This window comes from Homo sapiens, chromosome 7, assembly GCF_000001405.40.
Source record: "Homo sapiens chromosome 7, GRCh38.p14 Primary Assembly".
Classification (NCBI taxonomy): Eukaryota; Metazoa; Chordata; class Mammalia; order Primates; family Hominidae; genus Homo; species Homo sapiens.
The window spans coordinates 29,500,248-29,519,051 of record NC_000007.14 but is presented as its reverse complement, the minus strand read 5'-3'; the positions used below and the strand labels follow the sequence as shown (position 1 = coordinate 29,519,051).

At 41.9% G+C, this 18,804-nt stretch overlaps 1 protein-coding gene and 1 long non-coding RNA gene across 28 annotated transcripts in view; one reads left to right on the top strand and one right to left on the bottom strand.

Moving 5' to 3' along the window:
• Window positions 1-8,867, top strand: part of PRR15-DT (PRR15 divergent transcript) — a 53,507-nt gene extending 44,640 nt beyond the window's left edge. For all 4 annotated transcript variants that reach the window (NR_183549.1, NR_183548.1, NR_183550.1 and 1 more), the window contains one exon: window positions 3,735-8,867. This is a non-coding gene — a long non-coding RNA (PRR15 divergent transcript). The remainder of the gene's footprint in view (window positions 1-3,734) is intronic.
• Window positions 4,724-18,804, bottom strand: part of CHN2 (chimerin 2) — a 367,738-nt gene continuing 353,657 nt past the window's right edge. For 18 of the 24 annotated variants that reach the window (NR_120525.2, XM_011515105.3, XM_011515106.3 and 15 more), the window contains 4 exons: window positions 14,231-14,308; window positions 11,687-11,824; window positions 9,646-9,751; window positions 4,724-6,488 (listed from right to left, as the gene is read on the bottom strand). Coding sequence is in view for 22 of the 24 variants with exons in the window: in XM_011515105.3 (XP_011513407.2) it covers window positions 6,317-6,488; window positions 9,646-9,751; window positions 11,687-11,824; window positions 14,231-14,308 (494 nt within the window). In the remaining 2 variants the exon portion in view is untranslated. The remainder of the gene's footprint in view (window positions 6,489-9,645; window positions 9,752-11,686; window positions 11,825-14,230; window positions 14,309-18,804) is intronic. The other 6 variants (NM_001293080.2, NM_001293078.2, NM_001293075.2 and 3 more) reach the window with 3 other exon arrangements.

Here is an 18,804-nt window from a genome sequence, read left to right as displayed (position 1 = left end):
AGTAGAGAAATGGTAAAAGTTATGAATAGCCAGTTCATAGAAGAGACAGTTAAGTGGCCATTAAACCAGAAAAGATGCTGAACTTTAGTGGTAATCAAAGAAATGCAAATTAAAACAAAAAGATGTCATTTTATGCCAACAGAGTAGCAAAATATTTAAGTCGGGTGATGCCAAGTGTTCATAAGGATACAAAGAGACAGGAACTCTCAAACACTGCTGATGAGAGTATAAATTGGCACAGTCACTTTGGGGAGCATCTAGCAAAGCTTTTGATATGCATTCCTCACAGTCTAGCAATTCCAATCTAGCACATGCAGACTTCAACAAAAACATTCATGGAAATGCTGTTTTCAATAGAAAAGAAGGAAACTGAATACCTAATAGTAGCAGAGGGATAAATTACTTAGTAAAATATTTTAGGACAGCTAAAATGAATGAAGTAGGTCTATGAGTATCAACATGGATACATTTCAAAAACATAAGGAGAATTAAAAATAATTTGTAGAATGTTAATATAGAGTATGATACCATTTCTATAAAACATGGCATAGATTGAATATACACAGTAAGAATATAAAAAGTGCCAAGGAATGAGGAAGAATAAATGGGATCAAGTCCTTTATTCTGATTTTTAAAATTGTTTTAATGCCATGCAAGTATGACAGATGTGAAGATTTTAAAGAGCTGAGTGGCAGAGGGATTGGCATGTTCATCAGGGACCTTGGCCATGAGCAACAGATCACATGCTAGCTGGTTTAAGCAGAAGGGATTTGTCACAGTGCATTAGGTAGCAAACTGAATCTTGAGGATAATTTGGATTTGTTGACAGATAGCATTCAAAGCCAGAGTGAATGTGATTGGCTAGGGAGAAAGTAGGGTGAGAAGCAGCCTTGGAGGATGCATCAGGGACTTGCATGTTTGGGCAGAGGAGCCTGAGCAGAGGATGCGGGACAGGATGTACCGAGGGGTGTGAGGGTTTGTGAAGGAGCCTCCACACCTGCTGCATGTCATCTGGCCTCAGTGATAGACCTGTGAGGTTGGTGAGTGGGGCCTTGATCTGTGACTGAGCCAGGTCTTGTGGCTCTAAAGCCAGTGCTCCACAGGAACACTTGATATGCATCCACAGGAACACGGGCTTTAGAGCCACAAGACCTGGCTCAGTCACAGATCAAGGCTATTAACATTTGGAACTAGGCCTCCTTAACTCACCCTTCAGCATGTTCTTTCTGCACACTCACTGTTGTCCATCATTTGGAGCTGGACTTCCAAATGGCTTCACTTCCAAAGTTCATTGGGTAGTAATAGTTACCATTCATGAAACTCTCTCATTTGCTAGACAGCCGTAAGTGATGGTGCCTTATCACTGTGAAGAAGGGATACTAATGGTTAAGCATTCTCAAACATTTCCCCAAGTTGTTGCGTATTTTAGAAAAGCATTTGCTTACCTACTTTGTTCTCCAAATATGCTGAGTGCTGTCCACAGAGTACCTTAAGCCTCCATGGAATAGGAACTGGTATTAGTTCATTTTAATGACAAGAAAACTGAGACCTAAAAAGCAAATTAACTTTCCGTAAGTCACACTATTAGAAAGAGATGGAGCTATGATTTAACCGGAGGCTGTCTGGACCCAGCACCTGACCTCCTCGTGTCTACATTGCACTAGATTCTAGCCAAATCTACCATTATCTGTGTAACCTGCAATTGAACTAGAGACTTAGATCTTCAGATTCTTCAAACTGACTTATTTTGAAGCTTAATCATTCCTTCTGGGGAAAAGGAGAAAGAACATGCTGAAGAGCGAGTTAAGGAGAACGTCAAGGAGAAAGCTTCAATAACCAAAGAGTTCAGATGTTAGCCACAGCTCCAAAAGACAGGAGTTACTGTGCATTTTCAGAATCTGCTTCTCGAATTATTCCCCTCCACTACCACACCAAAATGGGACATTTGAGTGCAGTATTTGTAGAAGGAACAAGCCATTAATTTATAAAAGTTTGGGGTTGGCTACTGTGTGCTAGCACAGTGCTGGGTAAGGGATGGGTAGGATGGTGAGCAAAGCAGATCGGATTCCAGTCCTCATGAAGCTTATAGTTTAGACAGTGTTACATTAGAGACAGAGTTGGTAATACGGTTATAGGGGTGGGACCCATGGAGATCTTGGTCATGAAGGGAGGAGTGTATGGGTGGGGAAAGTTCTCTACCACTTCTGAGAATCTCAACAACCTTCACAGTGCCGCAAAGCCCCTTTCTTTGCTAATGAGTCCTAGTTCATTTCAGGTATCCAAACACCTTGAGTAAGTTGGCTCCAACCCCAGGTCAGGTGTAAGTCCTGATTGCTCAATCAATGGAATTACCTGAAAGACTTGTTAAAAAAAAAAAAAAAAAAGAAAGAAAAAGAAAAAGATCGCAAAATGCTTCCCCTGGATTCAGTGAGTCAGGCAAGAGAATTTGCCTTTTTAACAAGTCCCAGTTCATGCTGTTGCTGATCAAGGGATCTCATGTTGTGAACCACTGATCTAAACTAATCCTGGTGATCTCATTCCCCTTGCTAGTGACTGGTTTAGCCACATGTGTGCAATGCAGTTCTGGCCAATGTAAGGGATTGTATGTTGGGGAATGTCATTCAGGACCCCTATTAACTTCAGTAGGGATGGCACCAGGTTCAAGAGGCCAAAGAAGAACCAGAGCCAGTAAATAAGACAGAGTGTTATTAGTGGGAAACTTACATACAGAGCAGTGCAGTGGCAGCAGGCTAGACAGGAGGACCACATGGTCTAGTGGTGGCAGGCTGGACAGGAGAAGCATATGGTCCAGTGACAGCAGGCTGGACAGGAGGACTACATGTTCTAGCGGTGGCAGGCTGGGCGGGAGAACCGCTGCCGCTTGTAAAAAGCATGCAGTTTATAGAGCATTTTCACTTAGCACCCTTCCCCTAACAACCTCCAGCTGTTAACCTTCATTGAACTCAAAGGGTCTTGATCCATAGGACAGGGCAGGGGCTCAGATGTTCCTCATAGATGAGAAAGTAATCTCCAGGTTTGCCACTCCCAGTTCCTCGAAAGTCCAAATACACATTCAGGCGTGTCTGCCACACAGCATCATTCTCAGGGTATGCTTAAGTAATTGCTGTCAGGTATCACTGTCTACTATACAGGGGACTCCTAGGAAAGTTTTCCTCACTGTTAAATGGGACACACAAGAAGAGAAAGGCATTGACTTGGTGGTCTTTGTAGCCTCCTTGTAACTATGTGAGCCAAAACCCAAGGGGAAATAACAATAATCCTAGGATGGTGGAGCAGAAAGACAGCACCGACCTTGGAAATGGCCCTGATGGCTGGTACCTCCTACATTCTGTGTCTGGAGACAAATATGTAGTACCCATTCCCCTTAAGAGTCCAAAACCCTTAACATGATCAGTTTCCTCTCTCTAGCCAGACTAACTTTATTGTTTAATTCTTCCAGTGCGATAAGCCTTTTCCTTGCCTCCAAATATTCAGTGTCTACCTCATTAATAAATGCTTGATACATACTGGTTAAAAGTTAATGTTATATTTTTAAAATAAAAGACTGATTATACACTGGATATTGATAAACTTGGGAATTTATAAACTGAGTTGGGTTTTCACAGGAGCCAGGACAGCCCAGGCAATCCTTCATCTATATGGTATGTTTCTTTCTGATGCTCTCTTCACTGTCCTTCCCTTAACCTTCTCTCTTCCTCTCTCTTCCCTTCTAGGCTGTTATCCTTGACATCTGCAGCAGCCCTTCCAAGCTGTGGAGACCAGGTCATCTGGAATGCCCATTTATGTCAATGGAAGAAAGAAAAAGGGGTCTCCTCCCATCCTCACCACTGCATTCTCCCACCAACCCTGCTCCTGTCCCACTTCCCACAACTCAGTTGTTGACAATTTAACAGTGGGTTTCTGGAAACAGTGCTGCCTCCTTGATGGTCTAACTAACTACCAGAGTTATTCTAACAGCAGGAATTTCAAGCCAGGTAAGGGGAGCTATGTCAGGCTGCCAGATGGTGGGGAAGACAGGTGTGGGTGAGCTGGCTTCAGACTAAAGGAAGAGGAGATCAAGTGTTGGAATCACATTTGAGAAAAGGAGTCAAGTGAACTTCATTACCCATTATAGAGGCCTGTTATATCCTTTAGTGCTATTTGGACTTGGATTGAACCTGTGACAAATCCTTTTCTTATGCTTCTTCCATCCCTGCTTCCATGTTATATCCTTTCCCCTTCTAAAATGGTAATAATGAGAAATAACTATTACTAATTACCCTAGAACATAAATTTCATTTAAGGTGTCACAATCAGATTATCATCTTCAGTTTTTCAGAGCCGCAAACTTCCCATGGTTATATGCAGGTAGTACTAAATGGATGGATCTGGGATCAAACTCAGGGCTTTCTGACTTTAAAAGTCTTGTTCTGCTACCCTCCAAGTGGCCTAGGGTGATTTGCCCTAAACGGTTCACCTCTGTATGATGATGCATCCATGCAGTGGGGCTTATGGAAAGTGAATGTGGAGCCTCAGGGCCTTAATCTTGAAGCAGGCTCTCTAGAAGGGAGCTTGCAGAAGGAGTGGGGACTCGATGAGATGCTGTTTTCTCATTGTGTTTCAGTGATGACTGAAAATTTGTTGCCAGCGTCTATCTGGAAACAATGTTTTGATGATCCACCACCCCATCCCTCCAAACCACTTTCTTGCACATACTCCAGAATAATAGACAGAAGAATTTAATACATGTGATGCTTTGCCTTCCATTTACACTATCATAAATTACAAAGTATTGTTCACTTCACAAAATAAAACCATTTCCAGATAATTTTTTGACAGTATCAAGAAGTACATAAACTACAACAAACAAATCTGTACAGTTGGGAGGAGGGATAATAGCAGGGAAGAGGTCAAACCTCCCTGTGCCAATGGAGTCCATCTGCATAGCCCTTGGGACTGTCCAGGTCAACAGTCACACAATGATGCTCCACGTAAAATAGTCATTCTCTTCTGCTCACTCCAAAGCAAGACTGGTGAGTTTACACAAATCATCTCAATCAAAGGAAAAGACATTGCAGTTGGATTTTTTAAAAATCTAGATTTACAGTTTTTGATGTTTTAAATATTTCACCTATGTTACAAAATATAGAAATCTTGGTGTGAAAGGCTCATGCTAAGATAAATATAACCAAGTGACTGGAACTGTAGTAATAAAATCATATTATCCACACAGAGCTACTTTTGTCAAGGAGGAACAAATATTTGGTAAAAACCAACCTTATTCTCACTTTAAAAAATAGGTTTGTAAAACAAGAATGAAAAACGTTGACAGTTATTCTGCAGATTCGCTTTTCACCAATACAGAAATGTGGCAAAAATACAATTTGATATTAACAGATGAATTCAGAGGGCTTGGCCAGGAAGAAAAGAGGGTAAGTGCTAACTTTTTACACAGACCAGATACATCCAGTGTTCTCAAATAATTTCAGGTAAAATGACCGCATTCTGTATCTTCTGGGATACACACTCATGATACGAAAAGACTATGACCAATTCCAAAGCATACTTTGGGAATTCACAAAATTTGTATGCATAGAAAGTGTGTGGACATTTCAGACCATCCTACAATTGCTATAAATACATACCATACAATAGAAGAATGCCAATGCTTAAGAGCAAAAACTATCCAAAGCAGGAACACAAGGGGCAGGTGAAATTTCATTAAAAAGCACTGAGGAGGACAGAGGTATGTCAAGATAATACTGCATTTGTGGTCAGCTTTTTCAGGGTGTCACAGCAAAATGAGGGACAAGGTACACAGGGTAATAACCAATGCACTGCATTGAGTTCTATTTGCTAAAAATAACAACATTCTCGTGGGTAAAATAAAAATACATTTTACGATACACGTTTCATTTAACAGAATTGTCTTCTTTTTGTAAGTGGAAAATGTATAACTGTATCAAGTACCTGTATGAATTAAGTTCCCTTTTATTACCAATAAGACTGAAGTTTAAAGGTCTACATTGTTTTTTAATAAATTAAAGATGTATTAATCACTCTTCCAGCAAACCAGACATACATAGGAGGCACAGCAAAAGACCCAAGGTGAGGGGCTTCCCTCACCTTCACCCTTGTTCTCACGTGGAGGTGGCGCATGTCTATGAGACACAGTACCCCACTCAGCGATCCTCTGCAGTCCAGGAAATTCTAGCACTTGCTTGGAAAACAAATCAAGTGGTAAGAAATGTTTTTATTCCTTTAGCTGTGTCAACTTGGATGGTGCTGGGGCCATTCAGCTCATTTCCCTGATGGATTAGAATAAAACGTCTTCGTTTTCTATTAAAATCTGCACAATCAGCTTTTGGTACCGCATATCATGCAGGGTGGTCAGGGTGCTGTCCTCAGGGGGCCTCATCAGAGTGGGCCCAAACACGATCCCCAGATTTTCTGCATTCATGAAATTGTCTTTTTCATTCATAGTAACCCTGCAAAACAAACATATAGAACAGAGACATTATGGAGACTTGAGGATTGATTTTATGTATTGATTATGTATGTAAGTCCCGATAACATCTCTGGTTCAGGAAATTGCAAGAAAAAGATTGGGAATCAGAACAGCAGAAAGGTATTTTTGGAAGGGTAATTTACTGATTTTTCGTTTTAAATTGTTGACATTGCCTTCGCCGGTGGAAATGAATTACTTATGTGAATCTGGCAGGAACACAATTTTTAAAATTAGAAAATTAGTCCTCCTTATTAAGTAAATGTGGAACTATCATTTGAGGAATACTGGTTTGTAGGGGCAGCAGATTCTGAGGCTGGCCCATGGTCCTTTCATAGGCCTTATACAGAAGGCGTTTTTTTTTTCCCTCTTGTGGCTTCCTGCTGGTCTGTATGCTGGAGAGTGGGAAGGGAAGGGCAGGATCCCTCTCTGCTGGGAGGACCGGTGCCAGAGGAGAAAGGTTATGTGTAGAATGGGCTGTCATGAATTGAGGAAGAGTCAGGCCGTTATCGTGGGGTGGGGGAACGGCTGGAATGTCGCCAGACTGGACGGCAGTTGGACATTATTTCTAGTTCCCACAGGATGAGGTCTACAGCAGTTGAAATTAAAAATCATTTCGACATCCAGGTAAGAACTGCAGAGCCTTTAAGAATAAAATTCAAACTGCAAAGCTGGTTTAACACCTTCCTCATGGAATAAAATTACAATCTATCTATCTCCCAGAGTTTTGTTTTCACAACTTTAAGTTTTAGAATGTTCATAATAGATGTAAAAGGGAATGGGTTCTCCAAAAATGAGCAAAATATAATTAAAATGTGTTTAGGAAAATATAATTAAAATGTGTTTAGGTTGTGCATAAAAAGCCATCCCTTTCTATTTCCTTATAACTCATTAGGATTAGCCATTGAGTATTATTTTAAGGTCAACCCAGTTTGTGTCATGTACATGCCACAAAGCCTAAGAAGAAGGTTGGAAAGAGGACGTTTCTCACCATCAAAGTGCCCACAGTTTCCTCTTAAGTCAGGCACTATGCCTGACTAAACAAGATGGCTGGCAAACCCACTATGATAAAGATACAGTATTATTGGCATTTAAGGTTCAGCTGAAAGGTGTCAGCATTTTTCTGGTAGTGGTACTTTGCCTTCCAAACTGTAACAACTGGATATTGATCACAATAAGTATTTTACAGCTAATTGAAAGCCAGATGTGATACCCATAGTTTATTATCTAAAAATTACTTGCACTCCTAAATTCAGTAAATTAATCAGAATGGGAATATTCTGAGCTAAATGTTACCATCACCCTGAATCTGAGCAACAATATTGTATGTCTTCTTGTATGTCTTATAAGGTAGAAAAATAAAAATCTCAATACCTACTGTTTATACAGTCCTCCGTTTGCTTCTTTTCACATACTAAGTAGATCTGTAAACTGGTCAATGTAGACAATTTTCGGTTCATTTTATTTTTATCAAAGAATGGGCTGCTGCCAAGTATCTTTCAAAAACACAGAGGCACACAGATGTGCCCTGATCCCTCCAATGTTATAACACCAATTCATCGACCTCATTACACATGTGCAGTGAAAGAGAGAGACACAAGGTTTAGGGAGAATAGTGTCACCAGAGGTTCTAGTGTCCCATAAACATCCAGACGTCTCCATCTCTGTCTCCCACACACTCACGCAGACAGCTGTGTGTGTGGCAGGTACTCTCTGAGATGGACCTCAGCGATCCATGCCTCCTGGAATTCATACCCTGCATCCCTTCCCCTAAAGTATGGGATGGACTTGATTTGCTTCTAACAGATAAAACACGGTAAAAGCAATAGGATGTCACTTCTGAGATTAGCTTACAAAAAGACTGTCTCTCATATTGGGTGCTCTTGCTTTTTTGTTCTGAGAGAAGCCTGTTGGCTTTTTGTGAGCTGCCTATGGAGAAATGCACATGGCAAGGAACTGAGGGTTGCCTCCAGCAAACTGCTGGTGAGGGAGTGAGGCCTTCAGTCCAACAGCCTTTAAGGAACTGAATCCTGCCAACAACCATGTGAGTGGGCTTGGAGATGGATGCTACCACCATCAAGCCTTCAGGAGTGAATTTTTTTGTTCTTGAGACAGCGTCTCATTCTGTTGCCCAGGATGGAGTACAGTGGTGCCATCTTCGCTCACTGCAGCCTTCGTCTCCCGGGTTCAAGCAATTCTCCTGTCTCAGCCTCCCAAGTAGCTGGGATTACAGACCCATCAAGCCTTCAGATAAGACTGCAGCCTCATTACAGACCTTGAACTGGAGGCAGCCAGCTGAGTCACACCTGGATTCCTGACCCTTAGAAACTATGAGATAATAAATGTTTACAGTTTTAAGCCACTAAGTTTCGGGAGCAATTTGTTACTCAATGAGAGAGAACTCACACATCCAGAAAAATAAGAGACCAGGCTGGGAATGTGCTCTCCCAGGAGGCAGGCAGTCTCAGGAGCCTGGAAAGGGGCAAGCAACAGGGGGATGAACAGGACACAGAGTACAGGGCTTGTGTCAGATGAAGATGCAGACACGGAGGCAGAGTAGTTAAAGGCTGTACATCAGCCTGCCTGGGATCCTGCCTTCACCTCTTCAAATCAGCTGTGTAACCTCCCCAGGCATCAGCAATCTCACAAGTGACACAAGGCCCCTAATGGCACCCCTTTCTTTTTCTTTTTTTTTTTTTTTTGAGATGGAGTCTCGCTCTGTTGCCCAGGCTGGAGTGCAGTGGCACGATCTCGGCTCACTGCCAGCTCTGCCTCCTGGGTTCACACCATTCTCCTGCCTCAGCCTCCCAAGTGGCTGGGACTACAGGCGGCTGCCACCACGCCCGGCTAATTTTTTTGTATTTTTAGTAGAGACAGGGTTTCACCGTGTTAGCCAGGATGGTCTCAATCTCCTGACCTCATGATCCGCCCACCTCGGCCTCCCAAAGTGCTGGGATTACAGGCGTGAGCCATCACAGTGGCGCCCCTTTCATAGGGATGATACACTGAAAGTGCCTGGAGTGGTTCCTGGCACAGTGAAACTCCAGCAGTTATGGCTGGGGAGGAATGCCGTCCACTTTTCCTCATGCATTAACCGCTCTAGGAGCAGAGCAGGCTTTGTGCACGAGACATGAGCTTACTTTTTGAGGTGGATCATTAGGTACCGGAGGGTTTCATAGTGGGCAGGAGGCAGCAGCATCAGCACTTCATGGACGGCTTCCAGCCTCTCATCTGCATTGGAGATTTCTGTGAAGTTCACGCATGATGGGTATTAGTTCAGAGTGTGGCATTCAAGTTTTCAGAGAAGTAACAAGAAGTTTTTGTTTTAGCCAGAAGTGGGGAAGGATTCTAATAAATTCATGCAATCCAAGCACTGTTTCACTTAATCAATTTGTTGGTGTCCTGTGTCATTCAGGAAAGAGTTTGAGGCTGAGCACCACATGCTTATTGAATGTCCTCTGGGTGGCCAGAGGCTGGACACTGTCCTTGCCCTCCATGAATCTGTAAACCAGCAGAATGCTTACAGTCAGGGAGCATATGTGCAGACTATGCTTTGCCTTCTTCTGAACACTAGATTTGCTAGAAATATCCCTCTCACAAGTTTTAATTTAAACTGCACCACATACGGTAGTATTGCCTTGCAGTTGTCTAATGAGTCTTTCCCTGGCGGACTTCTACAACCTAATACATTTTACAAGGCAAGGACATTGGCAATGAGCCACCCAACTCAGCCTGCACTCATGGCACTTCTCACCGTGGCGTTGGCATACTTAACCCCGGTGCACAGCCCAGGTTAGGAAGTGGAGACTGGACACATTAACAATGGGAGGAAGAGTACATGCTTCTGGCTTTTGGGTCTCTGATAGGTACTGGCAGCTACTCAAAGAAAACCCTCCTGCTATTCCTCCTGGAGTAGAGGATATCTAGATGCTAGAACCTTCTTTGCCAGGACCACTAGGGCCCCGGAAGGAGGGAATAGTCTTACCGGGGTCAGGGCCTCAGCTCATCCGAAAAGTGCATCTCACACTGATCCCAGCCTGCCTTTGTGTCTCCCCATCAGGCATCTCATTACTACATTTAACAGCATGCCTAAACTTTTCAACCTTTAAAGGTTTTTTTTTTTTTTTTAAATAAAAACAACAACAACAACAACAAGCAAAAACTTCCTCAAAGTGAGCTTGACTTCCGTGTCATGTGTCTCAGCATCTGAATCTACCTTTGGTCACTTTTGACTCTTCCTGGGCAAAGTGTAGCCCCTTCCCCCAGACCTGCCCCCTTTTCACTCTATTCCTCTCTCCCTCAGCAGTGGGCCCAAGTGCCAAACACTGAATGAGCAACCCCGGGCTGATGGAAAGCAAATCCTGATGTCCCATTCCTGGACGCATGAGCTCAGCTCTCCAAGCCTTGCTTTTCTTCTTTGTAAAATGGGATTATAATATTTGCCACATGGGGTACATGAGAGAATTAAACTGGTGAGACGTTCTAGTATACTGCTTGACACAGTGTATTCTGGCCCTCTATTCATTTTGAACAGCATCAATAGACAAAACTTGCTTGTGACTTTAACTGACTAGGAATGAAATTCTGCCTAACAGATAAAAGTAGTTAATCTAGACCAAGCTTGTCTAACCCGCAGCCTATGGGCCGCACATGCCCAGGACAGCTTTGAACATGGCCCAGCACAAATTTGTAAACCTTAAAACATTATAAGATTTTAAAATAATTTATTTTAAAAATTATTTAAAATTATCATTAAAGCTATCATTAATGTTAGTATATTTTATGTGTGGCCCAAGACAATCATTCTTCTTCCAATGTGGTCCAGGGAAGACAAAAGATTGGATACCCATGATCTAGTCAGTCCTCATTGAAGACTTTTTTTTCTGCTACAGAAATATTCATGCTTTCAACATATAATAGGCCTGACTGTGTTGGTTCCCAGCATACAAGGAACAATGTGGACAGAACTGCCTGACACATACATCAGCCCACAGAGTTCTTAGAACTGGTTCAGCTCAGCTGTTGAACTATGCCTGGTCAGCTATTTATTGTTGTGCCCTCACTTGACAAGACAGGCACAAATGCAATAATTTAAACAGTTCTGAGTTTTAATTATCTGAAGGTCAAAAGCACTGTACTTAAAAATTTGGTAGAAATAAAAAATTAATTTGAAGTACTTACTTGCTGCATCTATAAATTTGGAATAGGTATCATATGTGATGACAGGGATGGGTAAGTCTCTGAAATACAGTTTAAGGGCTCCAGTGATGATGTTTATGTCTGGATAGACATTGGCAGATATATCGGCCTTTTCACCATCTGAAAAACAATCAGTGATCCAAGTCCTAATTAGGACCTTATTTCACCAAGGCATGTACAGAAAGGAAAAAAAAAAAAAATCCAGCGATGAATGCTCCCTGACAAGTCTCAGCTAACTCTTTTGGCTTCTAGTAACACTGAAGTGTAGGAGGCAACAGAAAGGAGTTTGGTGAGAGGGAGGTAGGGTCTGAGGGTTTGTGCAGGCAAACGGGTGATAAAACAAACTTCAAACAGTGATTTGGGTCCCAGCCCCTGGTAATTTGCTAAATAGAAATTTAGCACAATAATTTGTATTATGGACACTAAGGTTCATAATAAAATGACAATCTAATCTGAAACAAGAGAACATCAAGAAGCTCTAATACATCTCCACCAGTGTTTTTTAGACTTGGATTTGGAAGTCACGTTCACAAAATGATTGTTGAATAGTTTCAGTTCTTATTGTTTCTTTCAGGCTCACTGAAGGGTTTGTTTGTTTGTTTTTAACTTGATCCTTCCTCCCTGATCCCCTAGGACTTTAATCTGGGAAACTTTACCCTTTCCTCTTGGATATGTGATGTTATATTTCTTATCATTCTTTTTTGTGTGTGTGAGACAGAATCTCACTCTGTAGCCCAGGCTGGAGTGCAGTGGTGCAATCTTGGTTCACTGCAACCTCCACCTCCTGGGTTCAAGCAATTCTCGTGCCTCAGCCTCCTGAGTAGCTGGGATTCCAGGGACGTGCCACCATGCCTGGCTAATTTTTGTATTTTTAGTAGAGAGGGGGTTTCACTATGTTGGCCAGGCTGGTCTCGAACTCCTACCTCAAGTGATCCACCTGTCTCAGCCTCCCAAAATGCTCGGATTACAGGTGTGAGCCACCACGCCTGGCCTATTTTGACAGTTATTTCACTTCAGCACTTTAAATATATTATACTAATGTATCTGGTATTTATTGTTGGTCCAGAATTATTTCTTTGTAGGCAGTACAAAGGATCAGCACAGAAGTTTTGACCTGCTCCGTTTCCAACCCCCAAAGTGCTGGGATTCTAGGCCTAGCCACCGTGCCTGGCCTATATTTCTTACCATTTCTAACAATAGTTCTCAAGACATTTTTTGACTTTTAGTTTTACCGTTAGGAAATACCACTCCAATTTGTCACAGACTATGACATTTTTTAGATAAAAATGTTTTAATCATATAGGAATTCTTAATATCTTTTGCATAAAGAATTAAAAGAATAAATGCCTCAGCAAATTTGGTTCTGAAGATGAAAAAAGCTGCCGATGTATAGAAAACAGTAAAAGCATAGAAGATATGCCATGTTGATTTCATTATTTACATATTTAGCAAACAGTTATTGGGAATCTGTCATGTGCCAAGCACCATTAAGCCCTGATGAACCATGGAAAAGAGATACTCTCTGCCAACCAACAGTTCTAGTTAGACTGACTGACAGACATGCAACTCAACAATGACAAGGAAATAGGAAGATTGCTATGCTGAAGAAGTGTGGAGAATGTGGGGGGATGTGGAAAAAGGAAGTGGAGCTCTGAGGTTAGCTTGGGGTAGTCAGCGAGGCTTCCTCAAGGAGGAAAGGCTTGAGCTGACCCCTGATTACAGGTGTTTGCCAGGCAGAGAGGTGAATACATTTCAGATAGACAGGACAATGTGAGCCAAGGCACTTCTTCATGGCAACAAATAGGGTGTATTTCAGGATTGCTGGAGTGTGCAGTACAGTAGGGAGGAGGAACTGGAGAGAAGTCTGAAGAGAGAGGGAGGGCTACCTCACTGATTTCACATACCACACTACAAAGTAGAGGCTCTATCCAGTAGGCTCTATCCAGTAGGGCTTCCATGTCTTGACTGGCTGTACCAGAATTATTTGGATTGCTTATTAAAAATACAGATTCTTGGGCTTATCCAGCTTTCTGAATGAGTCTTCAAGTTGGGTCCCAGTGACCCATATTTTTAACAGGATCCCCAGGATGGCCATGATATCTGACTTAAGAGATAGTATGTTCTAGAGAATATACACCACAGTTATAAAGAACAAAAGCAGTTCCCTCCTACATGTCCACTGCCTTCCCCTACATTAGTGCTGGGGGTGCCCTCCCATCCCTATGATCCCTTCTTTGGAGCTTTGAGAGAATGAGAAGAATGGGATTCTGAGACAGGGGATGCAGATGGGTACTCCAATGCCATGTGGATTGTCTGCCCATTGACAGTGATCACTTATCAATGGCTGTGAAGGTAACACTTCACCCAGTGAGGCAGAAACATGAGATTTGTAAGCCATTATTCCTCCGTTTCTTGAAGAACAACTCTTAGTAGTTCTGAAACCCCATTTCTACTATGATTAAAACCTACTTCCAATCGAGAAGGGTGTTAGGATGTCAGATGGCATTCAAGAAAGTACAAGCTTACCTCTGTCAAATGCCATTTTGACATCTTCAATGTGTTCAGTGAACCCAGAGACTCTGTAAAGGCCTTCCGATTTTAATCCTGTTAGAGAGAGAGAGAGAGACTGACTTTAGCTTCTTGAAACATCTAAAAAAAAAAAAAAGACTAATTTCACGTCTATACTACATGCTATCAGAAAATGAGCAAACATAGACAGTGATTTTATTTATCACACACTGTTGCATCAGAACTTGGACTTGTCTGTCTCAATTTCCCAGGCAAGTCTGTTCTCATTTGCCCATGTAGCAGTGGAGATCTCAATGGAAATCCAGTCTTCATCCTTCCCTGCTTTGCAAAGAGAACTGATATTTAAGATTCCCATGGACCGTTCCCTTACTTCCTTTCCTGTGTTCATGAGCTTGATGGACATGAATTTCGTCATCGTAGGAAGCAACCTGGCTTTCTTCCTAGCATCATCTTTATTAATTTTTGTGGGTACACAGTAGGTGTATATATTTATGGGGTATATGAGATATTTTGATACAGGCATAAGATGTGTAATAATCACAGCAGCGCAAATGGGGTACCTAGCATCATCTTAATCCATGTGCTATATTGTATGTAGCACTGTACTAGATACACACATGTATGTATGTGGGTATCTAATCTGTATTACTCTGATTGTATTGGAAAAAATTAGACTATTACAGCCTTTCATGTTTACTTGTAAATAAGACTATGTTAACTGTTTAATTAAAAACGGTTACTTGTTATACTTTTAGACAACTGATTATACAAACAGATGCAGGAAAATAAAGTTTTGGTTATTGCTTCTGGAAATTGGATCACTGCAAATTTAGGCTAAGAAAAAAAGACATGGTTTCTGTCCCTGGAGCTTATTGATTTGTTAAGATATGTCCTAAAAACGAGTCAGTTCCCAAAAGTATGAGCAGGGATAAAGGACTGGGTTTCAGACTTTGTATGTCACAAACTAGCTGCTATCAAAACTATAGCTACAGTAAAAATGAGCAAACAAATAGCCTCTGCTGCTGCCGCCATATATTCTGCCAAACTCTTGATAACTCACATATTCTCCTGTTTTTTCATTTGGAAAACATTTATGGAGTATGTATTATCTGCCATATATAAGGGTCTTCATTAGGTATGCATCAGAGACAACAAATACGTGGCGTAAATCACGAATACTTCCCCTCATCCCTCCTGTGACCATGACAGATACTCTTAGTTGATCTCAGCCCTTTTTCCCACTGAGCCCTATTTAGCCTCAGAATTCATCTCAGTTCCAATTGTTCAGGTGACCACTACTGATCAACTGGAGTTGCCACACAAGACGAAACCTGTGGGTCATCCTGTTCTAAGATGTTGGTGCATATGAGCACATCTCATTCCAGTTGGAACATGCACTGCCACAGAGGCACAGACCCAGTGGATTATGGGAGCCCCTAGCAGTGAACAATGAACCCTGCCTGTTGATGGATGAATCAAAGTTCTGGCCTCTGGTGAGGCTCTCTTTCTGGCTCATAGATGGCCACCTTCTCTCACACGTCCTTTCCTTGGTATATGTGCATGGAGAGTGAGAGAGCGAGCTTGCTCTTTGGTGTCTCTTCTCATAAGGATATTAGTCATAATGTTTAGGGTCCCTCCCTCAGGACCTCATTTAGCCTTAATTATTTCTTTGGAGACCTCCGTCTCCAAAGACAATCACACTGGAGATTAGGGCTTCAATATGTAAATTTGGTGGGGCAGGGGACACAAACATTCAGCCATAAGATTCACTGAGTCACTTTCAAAGAAATCCAGGTTTTCAAGGAACGTAGAAAAATCCATGCTTTTGTTCTCACTCATAAGTGGGAGTTGAACAGTGAGAACACATGGACACAGGGAGGGGACCACCACACACCGGGGCCTGTTGGAGGGTGGGGGTCAAGGGGAAGGAGAGCATTAGGACAAATACCTAATGCATACAGGGCCTAAGACTTAGATGACAGGTTGATAGGTGCAGCAAATCACCATGGCACATGTATACCTATTTAACAAACCTCCACATTCTGCACATGTATCCCGTCACTTTTAAAAAAAAAAATCTATGCCTTATATAATATGCCAAGTTGTATGGTTTGGATTATAATTAAATGGGGGTAATTTTCCTGACTTTAGCCCATGCTTCACTGAGCAAAGCGTCACCCTGTATTACATCGAGATGCTTTTTTAAGAAGCTAATCTTTGAAGGAAATGATAAAGGATGGTTAGAGTTTGCCAGAGTAGCAGAAGTTGCCAGCTATCCTTCCAATATTTGTTCTCCCATTCTTCTGTTGTAATGGAACCTTTGATTTTTAGAACAATATCCATTGCAGTGGCCATTAAACTCTGGCCCATGTGAGAGCAGAAGTGACATTTACAGCTTCTGTGGCCTTGAAGGAATGGAGCATGCTCTTTTCCACTTCCTGTTAAGTGAAATGCAGATGAGATGGTGGTGGCCAACTGTGATTGTGCACGCAGGATAGCACTCAAGCAGGACAGAGCAACAAGCTGCAGTGCCTGGGTTCCTGCCACGGTGGAACAGACTATTCCTGGACTGCTCCTGGGTACCTGGACTATTACTGGGCAAAGAAATAGATTTCTATCTTGTCAAAGGCACTGTTACTCAGGGTCTCTGTGACAGCACTGAGATGTACAGGCTACATAATATAGTTAGACAGATTTGGAGGTGGAGGTATGGGTGTGGGTCATTCCAAGAAAAGGCAAAATTAACATAGATTGAGTTCAGTAGATTGGACATTGTACTCGGTCCATTTATGTATCAAGTCACTTTAATCCTCACCAACCACCTTATGAGGTACAGTTGATTCCATTCATATTATAGATGAAGAAACAGATATGCAAATGTAGTAAGCAACTTGCCCAAGGTCATACTACAGCCAGTAAGAGACAGGGCTGATAATTTAACTTCAAATCCTTGATCTTTTCACTCTGCCACATCACGCAGAGACAAATGAACATAAAAGAACATTTGGAGAACAATAAGGATTTTTTATGGATGGAAGACAGGGAAAAGTGTTGGTAGTGGTGGCCCCACAGCTGGGAATGCGGGTGTCATACAAATTTCTCCCGGTGCATTCTCTGGTTCTGCTTGCATGCTTAGGCCCCTAATACCTGTCTGGGGCTCTAATCCCTGTGCTGTGACTCTTTTGGCATCAATTCCTAATTTGTGCTACTCTATCTCGCTCTTGTACTAGGCAAACTTAGTGCAGTGCCCCCTATTCTTAAATGTTAGACATGTCAGTAGTTATCATGCCTGAATTATCAGTTGTCTTTGGTAAGGATCACAATGGGAGGACCCCAGCTTCTTCAGAAAAGCCCTGACTGCAGGCTCTGGAGAGGCTGATAATCTGACCCCAAACTGCAGGGCCCAGGGTCACTTGTCCCAACCACTCATCCAGAGGCAGGGAATCCCTCCTTTCCTCTTACCCAGTTTAGCCACTGGATTAATATGTTCACCAGATCCCAAAGCACTCATTAAGCTCTGTCAGCCACAGTGGTGAAAAGATAGAAGGCATTTCTTACACTCTGGGATTAAATTAGCAAGTTCTCAGGGAACAGGATAGCTATGGTTTTCCCCCTCCATAGAAAAGGGAATAATTTCCTCTCTCTAAAAGGGTTGGGATAATAAGCTATGACATCCTCTTTAGTTGTGCTTTGGAAAAATGGGGTAGTTGACCAATGAATATATATGTATAAAATATATTAAGCCAATTAGGACACAATAATGGATAGCCAGTATAACAGAATATGATACATGGCAAAAGTGGTTTAAGCCTTATAGAAAGGCTCTATACATGGCCAAATCACCCAAATTATATCCGGCAACTTCAGTGAACATTTTGATACTGAACAGTGGCCAAAGAAAGCACAAATAAAGGAAAAGTGACTCATGTACAACATAAAGAACATTTTTTGGAATGTTTCTATCTTCCTTGTTTCCTTTATTTTTCATTGCATAGATCTTTTAAATCTTTGAACTCTCCTCTTCGAAATAAACGATGAATATTAGGAGCACATTTTTATGTGGTAGGAGATGTATGTGTTACTCAACAATTTCTTATTTAACAGAAGCACCTTTTTTTTCAAAGCTCCAATTCAAGCCTCACCTCTGCCATAACCCTTCTCACCGTCCTTAAATAGGATTAAAACATTTTGCTTTGTGACTCCATGGTACCCTGAACACGGCCATCCACAATGTTTATTTATTTGCTCCCCTGATTGCCCACTCTAAAGTATGAATTTCTTCCATGCCTCAGCCTCTCGAGTAGCTGGAACTACAGGTGTGCACCACCACACCTGGCTAATTTTTTAAAAGAATTTTGTAGGATGGGGTCTCACTATGTTGCCCATGCTGGTCTTGAACTCCTGGGCTCAGGTGATTGTCTGGCCTCAGCTTCCAAAAAGTGTTGGGATTACAGGCGTTAGCCACTGCACCCAGCTGAAGTATGAATTTCTTGAAGGTGAGAATGGTGACCTTTATTACCTCAATGCCTACCATATAATAAATGTTCAGTAAACATTTTTTGAATGCATAT